The sequence below is a fragment of the Homo sapiens genome, chromosome 7 (assembly GCF_000001405.40).
Source record: "Homo sapiens chromosome 7, GRCh38.p14 Primary Assembly".
Classification (NCBI taxonomy): Eukaryota; Metazoa; Chordata; class Mammalia; order Primates; family Hominidae; genus Homo; species Homo sapiens.
Window position 1 is genome coordinate 129,021,996 of NC_000007.14, and position 20,957 is coordinate 129,042,952.

Consider the following 20,957-nt stretch of genomic DNA (forward strand, 5'->3'; position numbering starts at 1 on the left):
AACATAGGCAAATATCTAACATATAGACAACAGAGATCTCTGAAGAAGAAAATCAAAACAAGGAAACAGAACAATTATCAAAAACTGTAATTCAAGAAAATGTTCCTGGTTGGGCAAGGCAGTTTACGCCTGTAATCCCAGCATTTTAGGAGGTGGAGGTGGGAGGCTTACTTGAGGCCAGGAGTTTGGGACCAGCCTGAGCAACATAGCAAGATTCTGTCTCTACAAAAAATTTAAAAATTAGCTGGGTGTGGTGGTATGTGCCTGTAGTCCTAGCTACTAGGAGGCTGAGGAGGAAAAATCATTTGAGCCCAGGAGTTTTGAGGTTATAGTGCACTATGATCCTGCCACTAATTTTTTTAATTAAAAAAATTTGGTATCAAAGTTATCAAAAGAGGAAGAGTAAATAAATGAATATAATCCCATCACTGCACTCCAGCCTGGGTGACAGAGCAAGACCCCGTTTCTTAAAAAAAAAAAAGAAAAGGTTTCTGAAATGTTGGGGGGTAGGGGAGAAAGACATGAAACTATACATTGAAAGAGTATATCATATACCTAAAAATACCAACGCAGAACAACCAATACTGAGACATAATCTGGTAAAATTAATATACTTAAAGAAAAAGATAAAATAATTTGGACATCTATATAAAAAGAGCAACTGATTTATAAAGGAAAAAATTAGATTATCATCTACTGTGACTTGAACACTTCATGAAAGAAGAAAGAACAGGGTAAAGATGTGCTAAGAAAGAAAATGTGACAAAGATTTTATGTCAAGTCAAACCGATTTTCAATTATAAAGGCCAGAAACTGTTACTTGCAAAAATGTAGATATTATTCCTATAAGCCCTTCCTAAACAATCTGTTTAAAAAATCAAACTGATTAGAGAGAACAAGGCATCAACATAAGGACTGGGGATGAATATTAAACATAGTTTATTACAACAATTAAGAATAAATGAAAGTCGAAAGAGAAGTGGTATGTAATGATTACAAGCTCTGTACAGATACAGTGTGGAAGAAAGGGGAGAGCACATGCAAAACTATGCTTGTTTTTGGTGTATATACTGATAGTAGTAGTGTTAGTATTGTTAGTCTGAGGCTACTGACTAGGTTAATGTGAGACAGAGCTACTGAGTAATTATAAGATACTCTGTCACCTTCTGTGTCCCTCACAACCTGGATTCTCAGTATGGAAGAAAGGAGGTGTAGACATAAAAAGGCTTAAGTTAAAAACTTTATAGTGCTGTAGTTGAAAAGGCAATATCTCTATAAATTCATGAGGTATTTTACCTTTAAGTATTTATACCCACTATTTATATACATACTTTTCTACACTTGTATACATACACGTGTAGATAATTTATATATATTATATAGATATATAAAAATATACAATTCCCTAGCTCTATCCACTGAAAGCCCTAAACATACTGTCCAACTCAGTAACAACTTGCATCCCTAGTGCCTACATTGTAGTCTTTAAATTCAATTTCCCACTAAAAGATACCAATATTAAATACACAAGATGGGCCCATGATACATCCTGTCATACTAGAAAGGACAGAAGACAATAAGACTACTAGAGTCATTTCAAAAGTACTGAGAGGCAAAGGAGGCAACCAGCTGGCCAGAGACAGGACAATTTAGGATTCAGCAAGGGATACAAGGAAAAAACAAACTGGCCACCACAGGCCATTTTTGGTAACAATTACAAGCAGACATAAACTCATTATCTTACAAGGGTAAAAATCACGTATTTATCTTGGTTTTCCTATATAAACTGTACTCCTAAGTAACCTAACAGAGAAGAGTCACTTTATAGAAGTATTCTAATGGCAACAACCACAATTACTTTGGCACCAACCTAACAGCATGTAAGTAAAGAAATAACAGATTTAGAATATTAACACTTCACAACCCACAATTAATGGATTAAGCACTGAACAATAACAGCTAGTTACATCACACACAAAAAAGAATGAGGTGGATTGAAGATAGCTGCGAATATAATGCTAATCCTACACTGAAAGGTAGAATCTACATGCCTTTGAATCTGCACCGGCCTTGATACCTTGCTTAACTGATAGAATATGGCAGGAAGTGACATTCTGGGACTTTCAAGGTTAAGTCAAAGGAATCTTTGGAGCTTCTGCCTTGGTATCCTGAACACTTAACTCTGAGGAAAGCCACTGCCTGTGAAAACTTAAAACTACTCTGCTGGAGAGAATGTGGAAGAGCCCTGAGACTACATGGAAAGCTAGAGGGGCCGAACTGAATCCAGGCTTCCAGTCATTCCCACCAGACTGTCAGGCACGTAAATGAAGCCATCTTAGAACCTCCAGACCAGCCCAACCACCAAATGGATGAAAACTGAAGGAGCACAATCAGCATCCTGGATGCTGATTTGAGCCCGCTCAAATTCCTGATCAACAAAGTTATGAGATACAATAAAATGGTTTTTATTTCAAATCACTTAAGTTTTGGGGTAATCTGCTTCACAGTGGTAAACAATTAGAACCACCAGAAAACCAAACACTATATGCCTCTTGATGAAAGGAGATACCACAATAACAAGGGAATCAAATCTGTGCCTCATTGAGCCTCTAGATCCAGCAGCTAATTTGCCGGAAAAACAAGGGAGAGTAGAACTGAATCATGACAATAAAATCAGCAAAATCCACTGTGGGAAACTCTATAGGTCAAATGGCCCTGATACTTCAACAGATAAATAACCTACAGAGGCCAGGTGTGGTGGCTCACACCTGTAGCCCCAGCACTCTGGGAGGCCAAAGCAGGAGGATCACTTGAGGCCAGGAGTTTGAGACCAGCCTCTATGAAAAATTTTTGAAAAATCTGCCACGTGTGGTGGCATGCCCCTTAGTCCCAGCTACTCAGGAGGCTGAGGGGAAGGATCCCTTGAGCCCAGGAGTTTAAGGCTGCAGTGAGCCATGACCACACTACGCACTCCAGCCTGGGCTACAGAGTGAGACAGTCTTAAAAATAAAATAAAACAACAGAGAGAACCTGCAGATTAAGACACTCAAAATACATTATATAAAAAAACAGGCCGGGCGCAGTGGCTCACACCTGTAACCCCTGCACTTTCGGAGGCCAAGGCGGGTGGATCACCTGAGGTCAGAAATTCGAGACCAGCCTGGCCAACATGATGAAACCCCATCTCTACTAAAAATACAAAAAATTAGCCGGGCGTGGTGGTGGGTGCCTGTAATCCCAGCTACTCAGGAGGCTGAGGCAGGAGAACTGCTTGAACCCGGGAGGCAGAAGTTGCAGTGAGCCGAGATCGTACCACCACACTCCAGCCTAGGCAACAAGAGTGAAACTCTGTCACAAAAAAAAAAAAAAAAAAAAAAAAAAAAAAAAAAAAAAAAAAAAAAACCAGCTGGACTCAACTATGAAGTGTGAGATTGCCCACTAAGCCACTAAGTATAAAACCATAAAGAAACACAAAGGATTACTATAAAAGGACAGTGGTTACCTTTAGAGGGAGGGAAGCGGTTATGTCAAATGGTACAAGAAAAGCTTCTGGAGCGGAATGGCCAGTAAAGTTCTATTTCTTTTCTTTTTTTATAAAAATGGGACAGGGTCTCACTATGTTATCCAGGCTGGTCTCAAACTTCTGGGTTCAAGCAATCCTCTTGCCTGGGTCTCCCAAAGTGCCAGGATTACAGGTGTGAGCCCTGTGCTCAAAGTTCTATTTCTTGACTTGGGTGGTGGTTAAAAGGCCATCTGCATATAGTAATTCACTAAGCTACACATCTGCATTGTGTTTCTGTGTTTACATTTAGAAAATAAAACAGAACAACAATAAAAATCCCAATGTAGGCTGGGCGGAGTGGCTCACACCTATAATCCCAGCACTTTGGGAGACCAAGACTGGTGGGTCACCTGAGGTCAGGAGTTCTAGACCAGCCTGGCCAACATGGTAAAACCCCATCTCTGCTAAAAATGCAAAAATTAGCTAGGCTTGGTGGTGTGTGCCTGTAGTCCCAGCTACCCAGGAGGCTGAGGCAGGAGAATTGCTTGAACCTGGGAGGGGAAGGTTGCAGTGAGCCGAGATCATGCCATTGCACTCCAGCCTGGGCGGCAGAGTGAGACTCCGTCTCAAAAAAAAAAAAAAAAAAAATTGTGCAGAAACTAAATGACAGAAAACACCAACCATATCATTCTCAATTATCTGTACTTCTGACTTTAAACATTTCTATCTCCTTAAAAGTAGAGACCTCAAAAATGAAGGGCAGAAGCAAAAAAACAAAACAATTACTTGCCCCCAGGCAAACCAGTAATCTTAGAGGTAGAGATGCAAAACTGGTTAACTTGGAGGGTAGGGATGCACAGGAGATTTATTTTTCAAGCTCCTTTGATGACGTTTGAATTTTTTTTTTTTTTTTTTTTTTTTTGAGAGGGAGTTTTGCTCTTGTTGGCCAAGCTGGAGTACAATGGCACAATCTCGGCTCACTGCAACCTCCACGTCCCAGGTTCAAGAGATTCTCCTGCCTCAGCCTCCTAAGTAGCTGGGATTACAGGCATGTGCCACCACACCCAGCTAATTTTTGTATTTTTAGTAGAGACAGCGTTTCACCATGTTGGCCAGGCTGGTCTCAAAACTCCTGACTTCAGGTGATCTGCCCGCCTTGGTCTCCCAAAGTGCTGGGATTACAGGCATGAGCCACTGCACCTGGCTGTTTGAATATTTTTAAAGTGTCTTTTGTAATTACCTGTTTATTAAAAATAACTTGTACTTTATATACAATTTTTTAAAAAAGTGATACAGATCTTGCAAAATGTTTTTTGACAGGGCCTCTCTCTGTCACTCAGGCTGGAGGGCAGTGGGACCATCACAGCTCACTGTGGCCTCAAATTCTTGGGCTCAAGTGATCTGCCTACCTCAGCCTCCTGCATAGCTGGGACTACAGGCATACATCACGGCACCCAGCTAATTTTTTTTTATTTTTTGTAGAGACAGGTCTTGCTATCTCCTGGTCTCAAACTCCTGGGCTTGCCTGCCTCAGCCTCCCAAAGTGCTAGGATTACAGGCACGAACAATCACACCTGGCCTGTAAGATTTTTTTCTGTAAAATTTGTTTAGAAAAGGTAGCAAAGCTTTTTTAACAACACACAGGAGTTAGTTTCATGTCCATATGCTCCCTAAACAATAAAGCTATCTCTCTCATGACATTTATCGGGTGTTTCAACTTTGGTTATAACAGACCATCTGGTATTACATCAATTCATAAACTACCAGAAAAGATTCACTAAGACCAGGCACAGTGGCTCACACCTATAATCCCAGCACTTTGGGAGGCCGAGGCGGGCAGATCACTTGAGATCAGGAGTTTGAGACTAACCTGACTAATATGGTGAAACCCCATATCTACTAAAAATACAAAAATTAGCCAGGCATGGTGGCACACACCTGTAATCTCAGCTACTTGGGAGGCTGAGGCAGGAGAATCGCTTGAACCCGGGAGGTGGATGCTGTAGTGAGCCAAGAACACACTACTGCACTCCAGCCTGGGCAACAGAGCAAGACTGTCTCAAAAAAAAAAAAAAAAAAAAAAAAAAAAAAAAACAACACAAAAAATTCACTAAATACTCCCTACAAAGAACCTTTTTAAAGACACCAAAGCTAAAATATGAGGCCACAGTTCCCAGAAAGAAGGGAATGGAAGAGCAGAGAGTTCAGTTCACTCTTTGGCTCCACTTTTCCCCTCATGGCATTTGCCAATTTGAAAGTGGAAGACAAGAGGCTAAGAAGCTGAAGGGCTCTGGACAGCCTCTCAAGACTGGGGAAATAAAAACTGGAATTCAGAAATATCGAAGAGAAGCCCTGGTAAATACTCCAAACTCTTGAGTTGGGACCCAGTGAAGGAAACAAGAAATATACCACTCCTTAAAAAGACTGATACGTTAGGCCACAAAATAAGTCTTAATAAATTTTCAAAGACTGAAATCATATAAAACATCTTTTCTGATCACAATTAAATAAAACTAGGAGTCAACAGCAAAAGGGAAACTAGAAATTTCCCAAATATGTGGAAATTAAACAACATACTCAAAAAACCAATGGGTCAAGGAAGGGAAATCAGAAAACATCTTCAGACAAATGAAGATGTTTCTTGACTTGGGTGGTGGCTAAAAGGACATCCACATATAGTAATTCACTAAGTTATACACTTGTATTGTGTTTCTGTGTTTATGTTTAGAAAATAAAACAGAACAAAAACCCCAATGTTGCATATTAAACTGAACTAGTATAAAATCTAGTATAAAACTGAACTAAACTGAACTAGTATAAGAACACAACATACCAAAACTTATAGAATGCAGCAAAAACTGTGCTAAGAGGAATAAAATGTATAACTGTATATATGCTTACATTAAAAAAGAAAAAAGGTCTCAAATCAACAACCTAATTTTATGCCTTAAGGAGCCATAAAAAGAACAAACTAAATCCAAAGCTAGCAAAAAGAAGGAAATAATAAAGATTTAGGGCAAAGATTAACAAAATAGATAGGAAAATCAAGGGAATGCTACAAAAAGATCAACAAGGTCAGTCCCGGCAGCCACAGTCACTGGCCGCCCCTCTGCCAACAGCTCCAGCACTACCTTGGGCCAGCATCTCTGGCGGGCAGAAGTAAGGCACTGACAGGCACAGCAGAGAGGTCCTGTAGCTCTGGCTCAGACAGCAGCATCTTCACTCTCTGTGGTACCCAGGTGCTCTGAGAATGTTTCCACTGCTGCTCTGAGGGCACAAGAGGCAGGATTTGGAATTCCTGGAGAACTGTCTTTGTGAGAAGCTGGAAATATTTCTTTCAATTCCATCTCTTAGTTTTCCATTTTGTTGTGTTTCAGAGGAACATCAAGAAACCATGAAGAGTTTAATAATGAAGAGTTTCACTGCCACTTGCTTCCTTGATGAAGGTTTTACTGCCAAGGACATTCTGGACCAAAAAATTAATGAATTTTCTTCTGATGATGATTAGGATGCCTTCTATGTCATGGACCTTAGAGACATTCTAAAGACACATCTAAGATAGTTAAAAGCTCTTCCTCATGTCACCCCCTTTTATGCAGTCAATTATAATGACAGCAGAGCCATCATGAAGACTCTTGCTGCCATCGGGACAGGATTTGACTGTGCTAGCAAGGCTGAAATACAATTGGTGCAGATTCTGGGGATGCCCCCAGAGAGGTTTATGTATGCAAATTCTTGTAAACAAATGTCTCAAATTAAGTACACTGCCAATAATGGAGTCCAGATGATGATTTTCGGTAATGAGGTCAAGTTGATGTCAGTTGCCAGAACACACTCAAAGCAGCCCGTCACATCAGTGTTAAATCTGGTGCCATGCTCAAAGCCAGCAGGCTTCTTTTGGAATGAGCAAAAGAACTAAATATTGATGTCACTGGTGTCAGCTTCCATGTAGGAAGTAGCTGTACCAATCCTGAGACCTTCATGCAGGCAGCCTCCAATGTCCACTGTGTCTTTGACACGGGAGTTGAGTTTGGTTTCAGAATGTAACTGCTTAATACTGGCAGTTGCTTTCCTGGATCTGAGGACGTGAGGCTTAAATCTGAAGTATTACCAGTGTAATCAACCCAGCATCAGACAAGTATTTTCCACCAGACTCTAGAGTGAGAGTCACAGCTGAGCCAGGCAGATATTTCATGTGGCATCAGCTTTCATTGCCAAAAAAATCATATTAAAAGAACAGACAGGGCCGTCGCGGTGGCTCATGCCTGTAATCCCAGCACTTTGGGAGGCTGAGGGAGATAGTTCATGAGGTCAGGAGATCAAGACCATCCTGGCTAACACGGTGAAACCCCATCTCTACTAAAAAAAAAACCCAAAAAATTAGCCAGGCACGGCAGCGGGCGCCTGTAGTCCCAGCTACTCGGGAGGCTGAGGCAGGAGAATGGCGTGAACCCGAGAGGCGGAGCTTGCAGTGAGCCCAGATCACACCACTGCACTCCAGCCTGGGTGACAGAGCGAGACTCTGTCTCAAAAAGAAAGAAAGAAAAAAAAGAACAGACAGGCTCTGAAGAGGAAGATGAGTCAAGCGAACAGACCTTTATGTATTACATGAATGATGAAGTATATGGATCATTTAATCAATCCTTTATGATCATGCACATGTAAAGCCCCTGCTGCAAAAGAGACCTAGATCAGTGAGAAGTATTATTCATCCAGTATATGGGAAGAACATGTGATGGCCTTGATCAGATTGTTGAGCACTGTGATCTGCCCAAAATATATGTAGGTAATTGGATGCTCTTTAAAAACATGGGCGCTGACACTGTTGCTGCTACTTGTACTTTTAATGGATTCCAGAGGCCAACAATCTACATGTGATGTCAGGACCAGCATCGAAACTCATGCAGTGTATCTAGAAGCACGATCTCCCACCCCAAGTAGAGGAACAGGACATTAGCATCCTGTGTCTTCTGCTTGGGAAAATAGAATGAAACATCAATCAGCAACTTGTGCTTCTGCTAGTATTAATATGTAGATATCACTCTTGTAATTGTTAACCATGAGTCCAGCTTGAATTAAGGGATTTCGTAAGAGTTGGGTTCGCATGGACATGGCAATATGGAAGACTAGGATATGGGTCACACATTATTTGTGTTACTATGGAAACTATTTAAATATTTGTTTTATATGGATTTTTATTCACTTTTCTTAAGAGTTGGGTTCATACGGATGTGGCAATATGGAAGACTAGGATATAGGTCACACATTATATATGTTCCTATGGAAACTATTTAAATATTTGTTTTATATGGATTTTTATTCACTTTTCTGATATGCTACTCAAGAGTGCCCCTTGGCTGCTAAGCAAGCATCTGTAGCTTGTACAATGGCGGAATGGGCCAAAAGCTTAGTGTTGTGACCTATTTTAAAAGTAAAGTATTTCAAAATTAACAACAACAACAACAAAATTGACAAAGCTTAAGCTAGATTAAGAAATAAGAGAGAGCCGGGTGCAGTGGCTCATGCCTGTTAATCCCAGCACTTTGGGACGCCAAGGCGGGCAGATCACTTGAAGTCAGGAGTTCAAGACCAGCCTGGCCAACACGTTGAAACCCTGTCTCTACTAAAAATACAAAAAAATAAATAAATAAACTAGCCAGGCCTGATGGCAGCTGCCTGTAGTCCCAGCTACTTGGGAGGCTGAGGCATGAGAATTGCTTGAACCCGGGAGGCAGAGGTTGCAGTGAGCCGAGATCATGCCACAAGCACTCCAGTCTCGGTGACAGAGTGAGGTTCTATGTCAAAAAAGAAAGAAAGAAAGAAAGAAATAAGAGGATTTAAATAACTAATCAGAAATAAAAGTCAGGATATTACTACCAATTTTACAGAAATAAAAAGGGTTATAAAAAGTATTATGAACAAATGCAAGTGAACATATTGAATAACTTACATGAAATAAACAAATTCCTAGAAAAATAACCTAACAAGACTAAATCATGAAGAAACAGAAAATCTGAACAGACCTATAACTTGCCAAGAGATTAAATCAGTAATGAAAAACTTCCCAATGAAGAAAAGCCCAGGACCAAATGGCTTTACTGGTGAATTCTACAAAACATGTAAAGAAATAACATTAATCCTTTTCAAACTCTTTCCAAAAACTGAAGAGGAAAGAACACTTTCTACTCATTCTATGAGACAAGCATTATTCTGATACCAAAGCTAGATGAAGAAACAAGAAAAGAAAATTACAGACTAATAATATCCCTTATGAATAGTAATGCAAAAACCCTCGATAAAATACCAACAAATGGAATTCAATAGCATATTTTTTCTCAATTTTTAAATTTTTATTTTCAAAATTTTAAATTTAGAAATGGGGTGTTGCTATGTTGCCCAGATGGGTTTCGAGCTCCTGGCCTTAAGCAATCCTCCTGCCTCAGCCTCCCAAATAAGTCAGATTACAGGCATGAGCCATCACGCCTGGCTTTTCAACAGCATATTGAAGGGATTATACATCATCATCAAGTGGGATTTATACCTGGAATACAAGGGTGGCTCAACATATGAAAATAAATGTAATCCACATTAACAGAATGAAGAAGGAAAAGACATGGTCATCTCAATTTATGCAAAAAAAGCATCTAACAGACTTTGACACCCTTTCATGATAAAGACACTCAACAAACCAGGAAGGAAACAACTTCAAAGTAATAAATGCCATATATGCAAAAACCAACAGCTAACATCACACAACAGTGAAGACAAAAAGCTTTTCAAAACTGTAAGATCAGGAACAAGACTAGGATATCTACTGTTGCCACTTCTATTCAACATAGTGTTCGAAGTTCTAGCCAGAGCAATTAGGCAAGAAAAACAAAGGACATCTAAATTGAAAGGAAGATGTAAAATAATCTCTGGTCACATATAATGTAAGATCATTCAACATGATCTTACTTGTAGAAAACCCAAAAGATTCCATAAGAAGACTGTTAAGACTTAATAAATGAATTTGGCAAAGTTGCAGGTCACAAAATTAACAGATTAAAATTAGTTGCTTCTACATACTAACAATGAAAAATCTGAAAAGAAACAATTCCATTTACAATAGAATAAAAACGAATAAAATACTCAGGAATAAGCTTAACCAAGGAGACAAAAGACTTGTATACTGAAAATTACAAAACATTGCTGAAAGAAATTAAAGATGACACCAATAAATGAAAGACATCTCATGTTCACAGACTAGAAGACTTAATATTGTTAAGATTTCAGTACTACCCAACATAATCTACAGATTCAATGTAACCTTCACCAAAATCTCAATGACGTTTTCTGCAAAAAATGGAATTGTTTCCTTCACGTGGAATCTCAAGAGACCCCAAATAGCCAAAACAATCTTAAAAAAGAATAATATTGGAGGTCTCATACTTCTAATTTCAACACTTATTACAAAGCCATAGTAATCAAAACAGTATGGGTACTAGCATAAAGATGGACACACAGACCAATATAATGGAATAGACCCAGAAAGAAACCCTCCTGTAAAGGATTCAAATGATCTTTGTCAAGGGTGCCAAGACTACACAATGGTGCTAGGAAAACTGAATATTCACCTGAAAAAGAACAAAGTTAGTCCCTTATATCACATATGAAAGTTAACTCAAAAAGGACTAAAGACCTAAACGTAAGACCTGAAACTATAAAACTCTTAGAAGAAAGCCTAGGGGAAAAGCTTCATAATCATTGCAATTGACAGTGATTTCTTGGATGACATTTCTGGAATAAATATTTATCCAAAGAAGATATACAAATGGTTAACAGGCATATGAAAAGATGCTCAACATCACCAACCATAGGGAAAGGCATATCAAAGCCACAACAAAATATTACCTCACACCCAATAGAATGACCACTATCCAAAAAAACGAAGCAAAAAAACCTCAGAAAATAATATGTGTTATCAAGAATGTGGAGAAACTAGAACCCTTTGCATCACTGGTGGGAATGTAAATGGTGTAGCTACTATGGAAAAGGGGATGGAGGCTCCTCAAAAAATTAAAAATAGAACTACCATATATTCCAAAAATCCCAGTTCTGGCTATATATCTAAAAGAACTGAATATAAAATCTCAAACAGGGCCGGGCACAGTGGCTCACACCTGTAATCCCAGCACTTTAGGAGGCGGGTGATCACTTGAGGCCAGGAGTTCGAGACCAGCCTGGCCAACATGGCAAAACCCCATCTCTACTAAAAATACAAAAATTAGCCGGACATGGTGGCGCATGACTGTAATCCCAGCTACTTGGGAGGCTGAGGCATGAGAATCACTTGAACTCGGGAGGCCAAGGTTGCAGTGAACCAAGATCATGCCACTGCATTCCAGCCTGGGCAACAGAGCTAAACTCAAAAAAAAAAAAAAAAAAAGATCTCAAACAGATAAGATATTTGCACACCCGTGTTCAACTGCAGCCAACTGCAGCATTATTCACAATAACCAAGAGATAGAAGCAACCTAAATGCCCATCTATGGATAAATGGATAAACAAAATGTATATATATGCAGTGGAATGTTACTAAGCCTTCAAAAGGAAGGAAATTCTGACACACATTACAACATGGATGAACCTCAAGGACATTATACTAAGTGAAAATACACTTATCACTAAAAGATAAATACTGAATGATTCTAACTTATATAAGGTACCTAAAGTAGCAAGACTCATAAAAACAGAAAGTAGGCCAGGCACAGGGGCTCACGCCTGTAATCCCAACACTTTGGGAGACTGAGGCAGGAAGACTGCTTGAGCCCTAGGAGTTCAGGACCAGTCTGGGCAACAAGGTGAAATAGCTGGGCATGATGGCATGTCTGTAGTCCCAGCTACTGGGGGGTGTGGGCAGGAACACTGAGGTGGGAGTACTGCTTGAGCCCAGGATGCAGAGGTTGCGGTGAGCCATGATCACGCCACTGCATTCCAGCCTGGAAGACAGAGCAAGACCCTGTCTTGGAAAACAAAACAAAACAAAAAAAGGTTGAAACACAGCTTAGAATCTGCTCAATTACTTTTTGAATTTCAAAGAGATCTGTCCCTGTCATAAAGACCTGCGAGGCCAGGCGCGGTGGCTCACGCCTGTAATCCCAGCACTTTGGGAGGCTGAGGCGGGCGGATCACGAGGTCAGGAGATTGAGACCATCCTAGCTAACATGGTGAAACCCCATCTCTACTAAAAATACAAAAAAAAAAAATTAGCTGGGCATGGTGGTGGGCGCCTGTAGTCCCAGCTACTCGGGAGGCTGAGGCAGGAGAATGGCGTGAACCCGGGAGGCAGAGCTTGCAGTGAGCAGAGATCGCGCCACTGCACTCCAGCCTGGGCAACAGAGCGAGACTCTGTCTCAAAAAAAAAAAAAAAAAAAAGACCTGCCAGAAGCAAAAGAAAATCATCTCAGGAAGGAAACATCATTTATCTCTTCAACTTTTCTTAAACAACATATCGGCCGGGCGCGGTGGCTCACGCCTGTAATCCCAGCACTTTGGGAGGCAGAGGTGGGCGGATCATGAGGTCAGGGGATCGAGACCATCCTGGCTAACATGGTGAAACCCTGTCTCTACTAAAAATACAAAAAATTAGCCGGGCGCGGTGGCGGGTGCCTGTAGTCCCAGCTACTCGGGAGGCTGAGGCAGGAGAATGGCGTGAACCCGGGAGGTGGAGCTTGCAGTGAGCCGAGATAGAGCCACTGCAGTCCGGCCTGGGCGAAAGAGCGAGACTCCGTCTCAAAACAACAACAACATATCAAGCATCTATCAAACAAAAGCAAAGCCAGGCCAGGAACATTGGCTCACACCTATAATCCTAGCACTTTGGGAGGCTGAGGTGGGAGGATCACTTGAAGCTAGGAGCTCAAGACCAACCTGGGCAACAAAGTGAGACCTCGTCTCTACACAAAAAAGAAAGAAAAAAAGAAATTAGCCAGATGTGGTGGTACATGCTTGTAATGCCAGCTACTTTGGAGGCTGTGGTGGGAGGTCCATTTATTTGAGCCAGGAAGTCAAGGCCGCAGTGAGCCTTGATCACACCATTGCACTCCAGCCTAGATGACAGAGCGAGACCACGTCGGGGGGAAAAAAAAAGCAAAACCAAGTGACAACAACTAGAAAGAAACAGACAATACAAAGTAACCATTATCTAGATAATGAATTATCAAAGACTAAAATAACTGATGTCTTAACCAAAGTAATAAAACATCACCAATAGATTTTATGTGACTCCTGATGTGATTGAGTAAAAATGACAAATTATCGTCTATGCAGTATTCTTCCAAAAAATGTTTGACCTGAATGCAATCATGAGAAAAGAACCAGATAAATCTAAATAGTGAGGCATACTAAAAACTAAGACAAAATGGCCCACCCTGGATTTGTGTGGGGTATGTGTGTTTTTTCTTTTCTTTTCTTTTTTTTTTTTTTTTTTTTTGAGATGGAATCTCCTTCTGTCACCCAGGCAGGAATGCAGTGGTGTGATCTCAGCTCACTGTAATCACCGCCTCCCGGATTCAAGTGATTCTCCTGCCTCAGCCTCCCGAGTAGCTGGGACTCCAGGCGCCTGCCACCACACCCGGCTAATTTTTGTATTTTTAATAGAGACGGGGGTTTCACCATATTGGCCAGGCTGGTCTTGAACTCCTGACCTCATGATCCGCCCACCTCGGCCTCCCAAAGTGCTGGGATTATAGGCGTTAGCCACCGCACCCAGCTGTGTGTATATGTTTTAAAGGGACAGGGTCTTGACATGGTTGCCCAGTCTGGCCTCCTGGGCTCAAGCAACCCTCCCACCTCAGCCTCCTGTGTAGCTGGGGCTACAGGTGTGCACCACCGTACCTGTCTTGGATTTGTTTTTTAATATCATCATCATAAAAGAAAAAAAAATACCCAGGTAACTAGAGACATAACAACCAAAAGAAAAGCATTACCCTTGAAGGATCCTAGATTAGAGAAAATAAAATTTTAGAAAGCTTGAAATCTATAACTAGAGCAATTAGGAAAATTTGAATACAGACTGATAATACCATCATATCAATGTCAAATTTCTTGAGAGTGACAACATTTTAGTTTATTTTAGAAAAATGTCCTTGTTCTTACAAGATACAAGTGGAAAAGTTTAAGGAGTAGGGCTTTATAAGGTGTATTTCTAAAAGGTTAAAAGAAATAAAGTTGGAAAAAATGAATAGCTGATTAATATATGCAAAGACTTAGAAGACAAAACTGGAGAATTTCCATTAATAAATGGAATATATAAAAAAGAATTAAAAGGAAATTCTGGAAGTAAAAAAATACGGTAACTGAAATTAAGAACCATTAGAAAAGGCCAAACAGCAAATCAGACAACTGAAGAATTATAGATTGCTATGCTTGATAACAGGTCAATAAAAAACAAAAAGACTGAAGCACAAAGTCAAAAAAAGGATAGAAGGTAAACAATGAGAAGAATGCAAGTGACATGTGGGACACAGTGAAAAAGGCTAAGACACATATAATTGAAATCCTAGCAGGAAAAGAGAAAACAGAAATCAGGAATGAATGAAGAACAATGGAAAAGCAGTGAAGTATATGGGTAAATCCAATTAACACTGATTATATAAAGCAATAATATCTTGTGGTATTTAAAATATATGAAGAATAAAAATGCCTCAGAAGAGTTCCACATCCACCTAAGATATATAATGACAGAAACAATACTGCTTTCCGTAAGTTAACAATACACGAAAGCAAATAAACTACAAAATAACCTTGCTTAAATGCATCAGAAAGTTGAGGTCTTAGGGCAACCAAGTTGACTGAAATCTAAGGACAGACCTCTAACAAGGAAAATGAAGGCAAGCACTGGCTCATCTACGACAGGACAGAGGAAGAAATTCAGGGCACCTGGCAACCAGCTCATAAAAATTCTGCTAACACTTCTAACAAATTGAGAAAGGCTGCATGTGGGCTAGGATGAGCATATAGAACCCCTGGGACTCGCAGACACAAGCAGAACTCACAGTCACCCAGCAGATCACCTTCGCAGACCAGATACTCAAGAGAAAGACTGGGGGTAGGGCAGAAGACCACCTCCTTTGGTGGTGCAGTCCTGGAGGAGGGGAAGAGCCTCTGTTGCGAAAAAGCACAAAAATCTCTGACTGAACCCTTCCCTGAACAAAAGCCTTAGGCTACGGGGAGGGGGCAGCAAAGCATGTCACCCTCAAAGTACAGGTTAAGACTCACTGCAGTTGCACTAAGCGTAAAAGAAAAACCTCTACCCCTAGGGGACAGGCATAAAACAGTCTTGAGCCTATAATAATACTACCAACACCATGAGAGGTCTCCTACCACTGAGAGAAGGGAAAAAAAAACTATTTTGCACAATACCTGCCAGATGCAAGGCAAAGAATGAATGACACAAGAAAAACTAGGATCACTGAGGCCGCCCTACCAGAGAGAATGGCAGACAACAGAAATGCTAAAGACTAGGGTAGACCAGGGCAACAGAGAATGTTACTCCCCCAAATAAGCAAACAAATTCTAAATATATCATACTCAAACTCCTGAAAACCAGAGATAAAGAGAAATACTGAAGGGAAGCAGAGAAAAAGGACACATTAAATACAGAGGAACAAAAGTAAAAAGCTAGAGCAGACTTCTTGTCAACAATGAGGATGCCAGAAGACATGGAGAGGTAGAGCTAAAAAATGGGAAGAAAAAAAGGAAAGAATTCTAAAGCCAATGAAACCATATTTCTAAAATGAAAGCATTCGACACCAAGAACCCAATTTAAAAATGGACAAAGCAAAAAATAACAGATGCTGGTGAGGTTGCAGAGAAAAAGAAATGCTTACACACTGTTGGTGGGAGTGTAAACTAGTTCAGCCATTGTGGAAAGCAATGTGGCGATTCCTTGAAGAGCTAAAAACAGAACTACCATTCGACCCAGCAATCCCATTACTGGATGTATACCCAAAGGAATATAAATTGTTCTATCATAAAGACACATGCATGCAAATGTTCACTGCAGCACTATTCACAATAGCAAAGACATGGAATCAACTTAAATGCCCAACAACAGTGGACTGGATAAAGAAAATGTGGTAGATATGCACCATGGAATACTATGCAGCCATAAAAAAAGAATGAAATCATGTCCTCTGCAGGAACATGGATGGCGCTGGAGGCCATTATCCTTAGCAAATTAACACAGGATCAGAAAACCAAATACCACATGTTCTTATTTATAAGTGGGAGTTAAATGATGAGAACACATGAACACAAAGAAGACAGACACTGGGACTAACTGGAGGTAAGAGGTTGAGAGGAGGGAGAGGATCGGAAAAAATAATTAATGGGTCCTGGGCTTAACACCTGGGTAACAAAATAATCTGTACAACAAACCCCTATGACACAGCTTTACCTATACAACAAACCTGCATGTGTATCCCTGAACCTAAAAGTTTTTTTAAAAATGGACAAAGAACTTGAATAGACATTTCTCCAAAGATACACGAATGGTCAAAAAGCATACGAAAAGATGCTCAACATGATTAGCCATCAGGAAATGCAAATCAAAACCACAATGAGATATCACTTCATACCCACCAGGATGGCTATAATCAAAAAGACAGACAACAACAAGTACTAGTGAATATGCAGAAAAACAGGAACCCTTATACACTGCTGGTAGGAGTGTAAAATGGTACAGCCATTTTGAAAACAGGATGCCATTCCTTGAAAGGTTAAAAATAGAGCGTTATCACCCAGGCACAGTGGCTCACACCTATAATCCCAGCACTTTGGGAGGCCAAGGCAGGAGGATCGCTTGAGCCCAAGAGTTTGAAACCAGCCTGGGCAACATAGTGAAACCCCATCTCTAGAAAAAATACAAATTAGCTGGGCATGGTAGTGTGCACCTGTAGTCCCAGCTACTCAGGAGGCCAAGGCGGGAGGATTGCTTGAGCTGGAGAGGCAGAGGTTGCAGTGAGCAGAAATCACACCCCCACACTCCATCCTGGGTGACAGAGGAAGATTCTGTCTAAAAAAAAATAAATAAATAAGAGTTATCATATAATCCAAAAATTTCAACAGCACTTGTACATGAATGCATTATAGCACTATTCACAAACGATAGCCAAAAAGTGGAAACAGTCCCAATGTCCACTGACCAATGAATGGATAAGATGTGGTATATATGTTGAATGGAATACTGCTCAGCCATAAAAAGGAGTGAAGTAATAATATATACTATAACATGGATGAACCTTGAAAACATCATACTAACTGAAAGAAGACAGTCACAAAGGATCATGAACTATATGATTCCATTTATATGAAATATCCAGAATAGGCAAAACTCTACAGACAGAAAGTAGATTAGTAGCTGCCTAGCAATGAGGTGGGAGGTGGCAGGCCAAGGGGTACAGGTCTCTTTCTGGTATGATGAAAATGTCCAGCTGGGCATGGTGGCTCACGCCTGTAATCCCAACACTTTGGGAGACCGAGGCAGGTGGATCACTTGAGGTCAGGAGTTCAAGACCAGCCTGGCCAACACGGTGAAACCCCGTCTCTACTAAAAATACAAAAATTAGCCGGGCGTGGTGGTGCACACTTGTAATCCCAGCTACTCAGGAGGCTGAGGCAGGAGAATCACTTGAACCCAGGAGGCAGATGTTGCAGTGAGCCAAGGTCGTGCCACTGCACTCTAGCCTGGGCAACAGGGCGAGACGCCATCTCAAAAAAAAAAAAAAAAGAAAATGTCCAAAACTTGATGGATAAAGAAATCTCTATATTAAAAACCATTAAACGGTATACTTTAAATGAGTGAAATGTAGTTGTGTGAACTATATTTCACTAAAGCTATTTTTTAAAAAACAGGCAAAACAAATCTGTGGTGATGTAAGTCAGAATAGTGGTTATGGGAGGGGAATGATTTACTGGGAAGAGGCATTCAGGTATCTGCTAGAGTAATAGAATGTACTATGCCTTGATGTTATTTGCGATTACTTAAAATATACATATAAGAAAAAAATTGAGTTACACACTTAAGATGGTGCACTTTATGTAAGAAAATTACCTCTCGTTAAAAAAATTATTTTTCTGCAAGTTGGAAATTGCACCTTTTAATGCTCATTATGTTATTATCTAGTTTGGGTTTTTTTTTAACCTAAACTATGGATGGCAGCTATATGAATTTCTCAGGACAATGCTATGGGAAATTAGTCTTAGAAAAATCATTGACTTACTCTTGTGCAAATGTATCAAGTAGAAGCAAAAGGAAGGCACTATCTTCTAAATTCAAGCACCCTTATTTACTTTGATACTGTCTTACCCACTGGTCAAATGCACTTCTCCTTTCAAATACTGTATTAGTTTTTTCAGAATAATAACTAAATATGAGAGTGACCCCTAAAGAATCATTTGGCAAACTTGGGTATCAAGGCTACTGCTAAGTACATCGTCAACGAAAAATCACCCGTGATGACATTGCCCATACTAAATGTTAAGGGTCATAATTATCACTTTATTTTGAATTCCAGGAGAGTTTAAGAATTGTTGACATCCAGCCAGGCATGGTGGCTCACACCTGTAATCCCCGAGCTTTCAGAGGCCTAGGCAGGAGGCTTGCTTAAGGCCAGGTGTTCAAAACCAGCCTGGAGACAACATAGCAAGATCCTGTCTCTAAAAAAAATTTAAAAATCAGCCAGGCATGGTGTACTTGTAGTCCTAGCTACTCAGGAGGCTGAGGCAGGAGGATTGGTTGAGCCCAGTAGCTGGAGGCAGCAGCGAGCTACGATCACACCACTGCCCTCCAGCCTGGGTGACAGAGTGAGATGCTGTCTCAAAAAAGAAAACAAAATGAAATCTTGTTTTGGCTACTGAGTCATAAAGAAAATTCAACCAAATCCTGATACCCTACAAACTACAGTACATTGCTCATTGTTCTTCCCCTCTGCTAAACAGCAGAAAAAAGGAAGGGAAGGAAGAGAATCAAGGAAGGAAAAGGGATTCTTTATAAGGAGAGAATAAAGCACTTACACTTCATAGGACTTTCTAGCCACAGATGCCAGGTGCTACCCACTGAAATCCAGGCTTGGACTAAGCTCCACATTTCTGAAAGGACCATCTCAACTGAAGCCTGGGGCTCAGAGTCAGCAGGAGGAAGCTGCAGCTCCCACTAGCAGCACATTTCAAAGAGGCTGCAACAAGAGAACATTTTCCATTTAAGCATCTAATTCCAATCTTCCATTTCACAAAGCAGTAGCAGAACAGGCCTTTATATCAGTCTTTTCAAAAGATATTTCCATGACTATGTGATGAATATGAGGCAGGCTATGGCCCAGCAATCCTTTCACTAACATGCTCTAAGCCCTTCATTATACTTCACAGCAGATCCTAAAGTACTTGCTCCCTTTTTTGTTTAATGGTGCACTGTTGCTCCAAGACTCACTTCTATACTAACATTTCTAAAACTGCCAAATCAACCAAAATCACTGAGCAGGCCCTCAACAATGCAAGCACACACCCAGACAGGCGCCTAAGGACTCATTAGCTGCCAAGAATTAGAAGCAGATTACAGCTGCTAGTTAATCCTACACAAAAACTCCTCAAATTAAGCAGAATTACCTAAAATACTTCACTGAGTACCAAAGAGCTCTGGCAAATAGAAAATAAAGTTCTGGAAATACAGATAATTCAATAACACTTGAAAAGTAACATAAGTGTCAGGTTGCTGCATTTTTTAAGCATTTCGATGAGTGAACGATATTATTTACTAAATGAAGATTTTCAAAGATTTATAGTATATTGGGGAAAGTTCTGGGAAGGAAGACTACATCAGAACACAGAGTAAAAAGAACTCTTAAAAAGAAAACTACAAATCGGTCAAACAAAACAATATTTTAGATATATGCCCTGCAACCATGTGGTATAGAGCTAGAAAAGTCAGAATTTCCCATATCAAGAAAAAATCATTTTCATGAGACGGGTAAAGAAAGAACAAGTCTAATTTACCTCAAACAGAAAAAGTAATTTTTTAAGTCATCAACTACCTTAACTTCTTTTATCTAATCCTTTATGAGAATTTTACAAAACGAGATAAATTGCTAGATTTGTTACAACAAATTACTTCTTGATAATTTTCTCGGACAGTGGGAAGAAAAATGGTTTGAAAGGATACTAATTAAGAAAAAAATAAACTGAGGGGCACATAAGATAACCATCACTACCTAAAAATATTTTTCAATATAACTTCTTTTGCAAGATGGCCTGAAACACAGAAACCAAGATGAAATCAAACTTAGCTAATATCTTCACCAAAGCAGTGATAAAACAACTCCCATCCTCCAAAAAAAAAAAAAAAAATTGTAAAAGAAAAGTAATCATAAATCTCCTAGCAAGCTCCCAGATTCACAAAATACACTTGGGTATACAT

At 40.0% G+C, this 20,957-nt stretch overlaps 1 protein-coding gene and 1 pseudogene across 30 annotated transcripts in view, besides 1 other annotated feature; one reads left to right on the forward strand and one right to left on the reverse strand.

Moving 5' to 3' along the window:
* The window catches only part of TNPO3 (transportin 3), a 102,009-nt gene that overhangs the window by 67,811 nt on the left and 13,241 nt on the right, over positions 1-20,957 (reverse strand). For 6 of the 30 annotated variants that reach the window (NR_034053.3, NR_167915.1, NR_167926.1 and 3 more), the window contains exon 2: positions 19,562-19,722. The exons of 23 other annotated variants lie outside the window; for them this stretch is intronic. The gene's annotated coding sequence lies outside the window, so the exon portion shown is untranslated. Of the gene's footprint in view, positions 1-6,633; positions 12,917-19,561; positions 19,723-20,957 lie in introns of those variants that run through there. One more of the 30 variants, XM_047420092.1, reaches the window with a different exon arrangement.
* Positions 6,587-8,950, forward strand: ODCP (ornithine decarboxylase pseudogene; annotated as a pseudogene).
* Positions 7,425-7,925: an enhancer, noted in NCBI's record as "H3K4me1 hESC enhancer chr7:128669474-128669974 (GRCh37/hg19 assembly coordinates)". NCBI's record gives its function as "activates a minimal SCP1, AML or CMV promoter by ChIP-STARR-seq in primed H9 embryonic stem cells {active_cell/tissue: H9 hESC(primed)}" and the evidence as "EXISTENCE:reporter gene assay evidence [ECO:0000049][PMID:30033119]".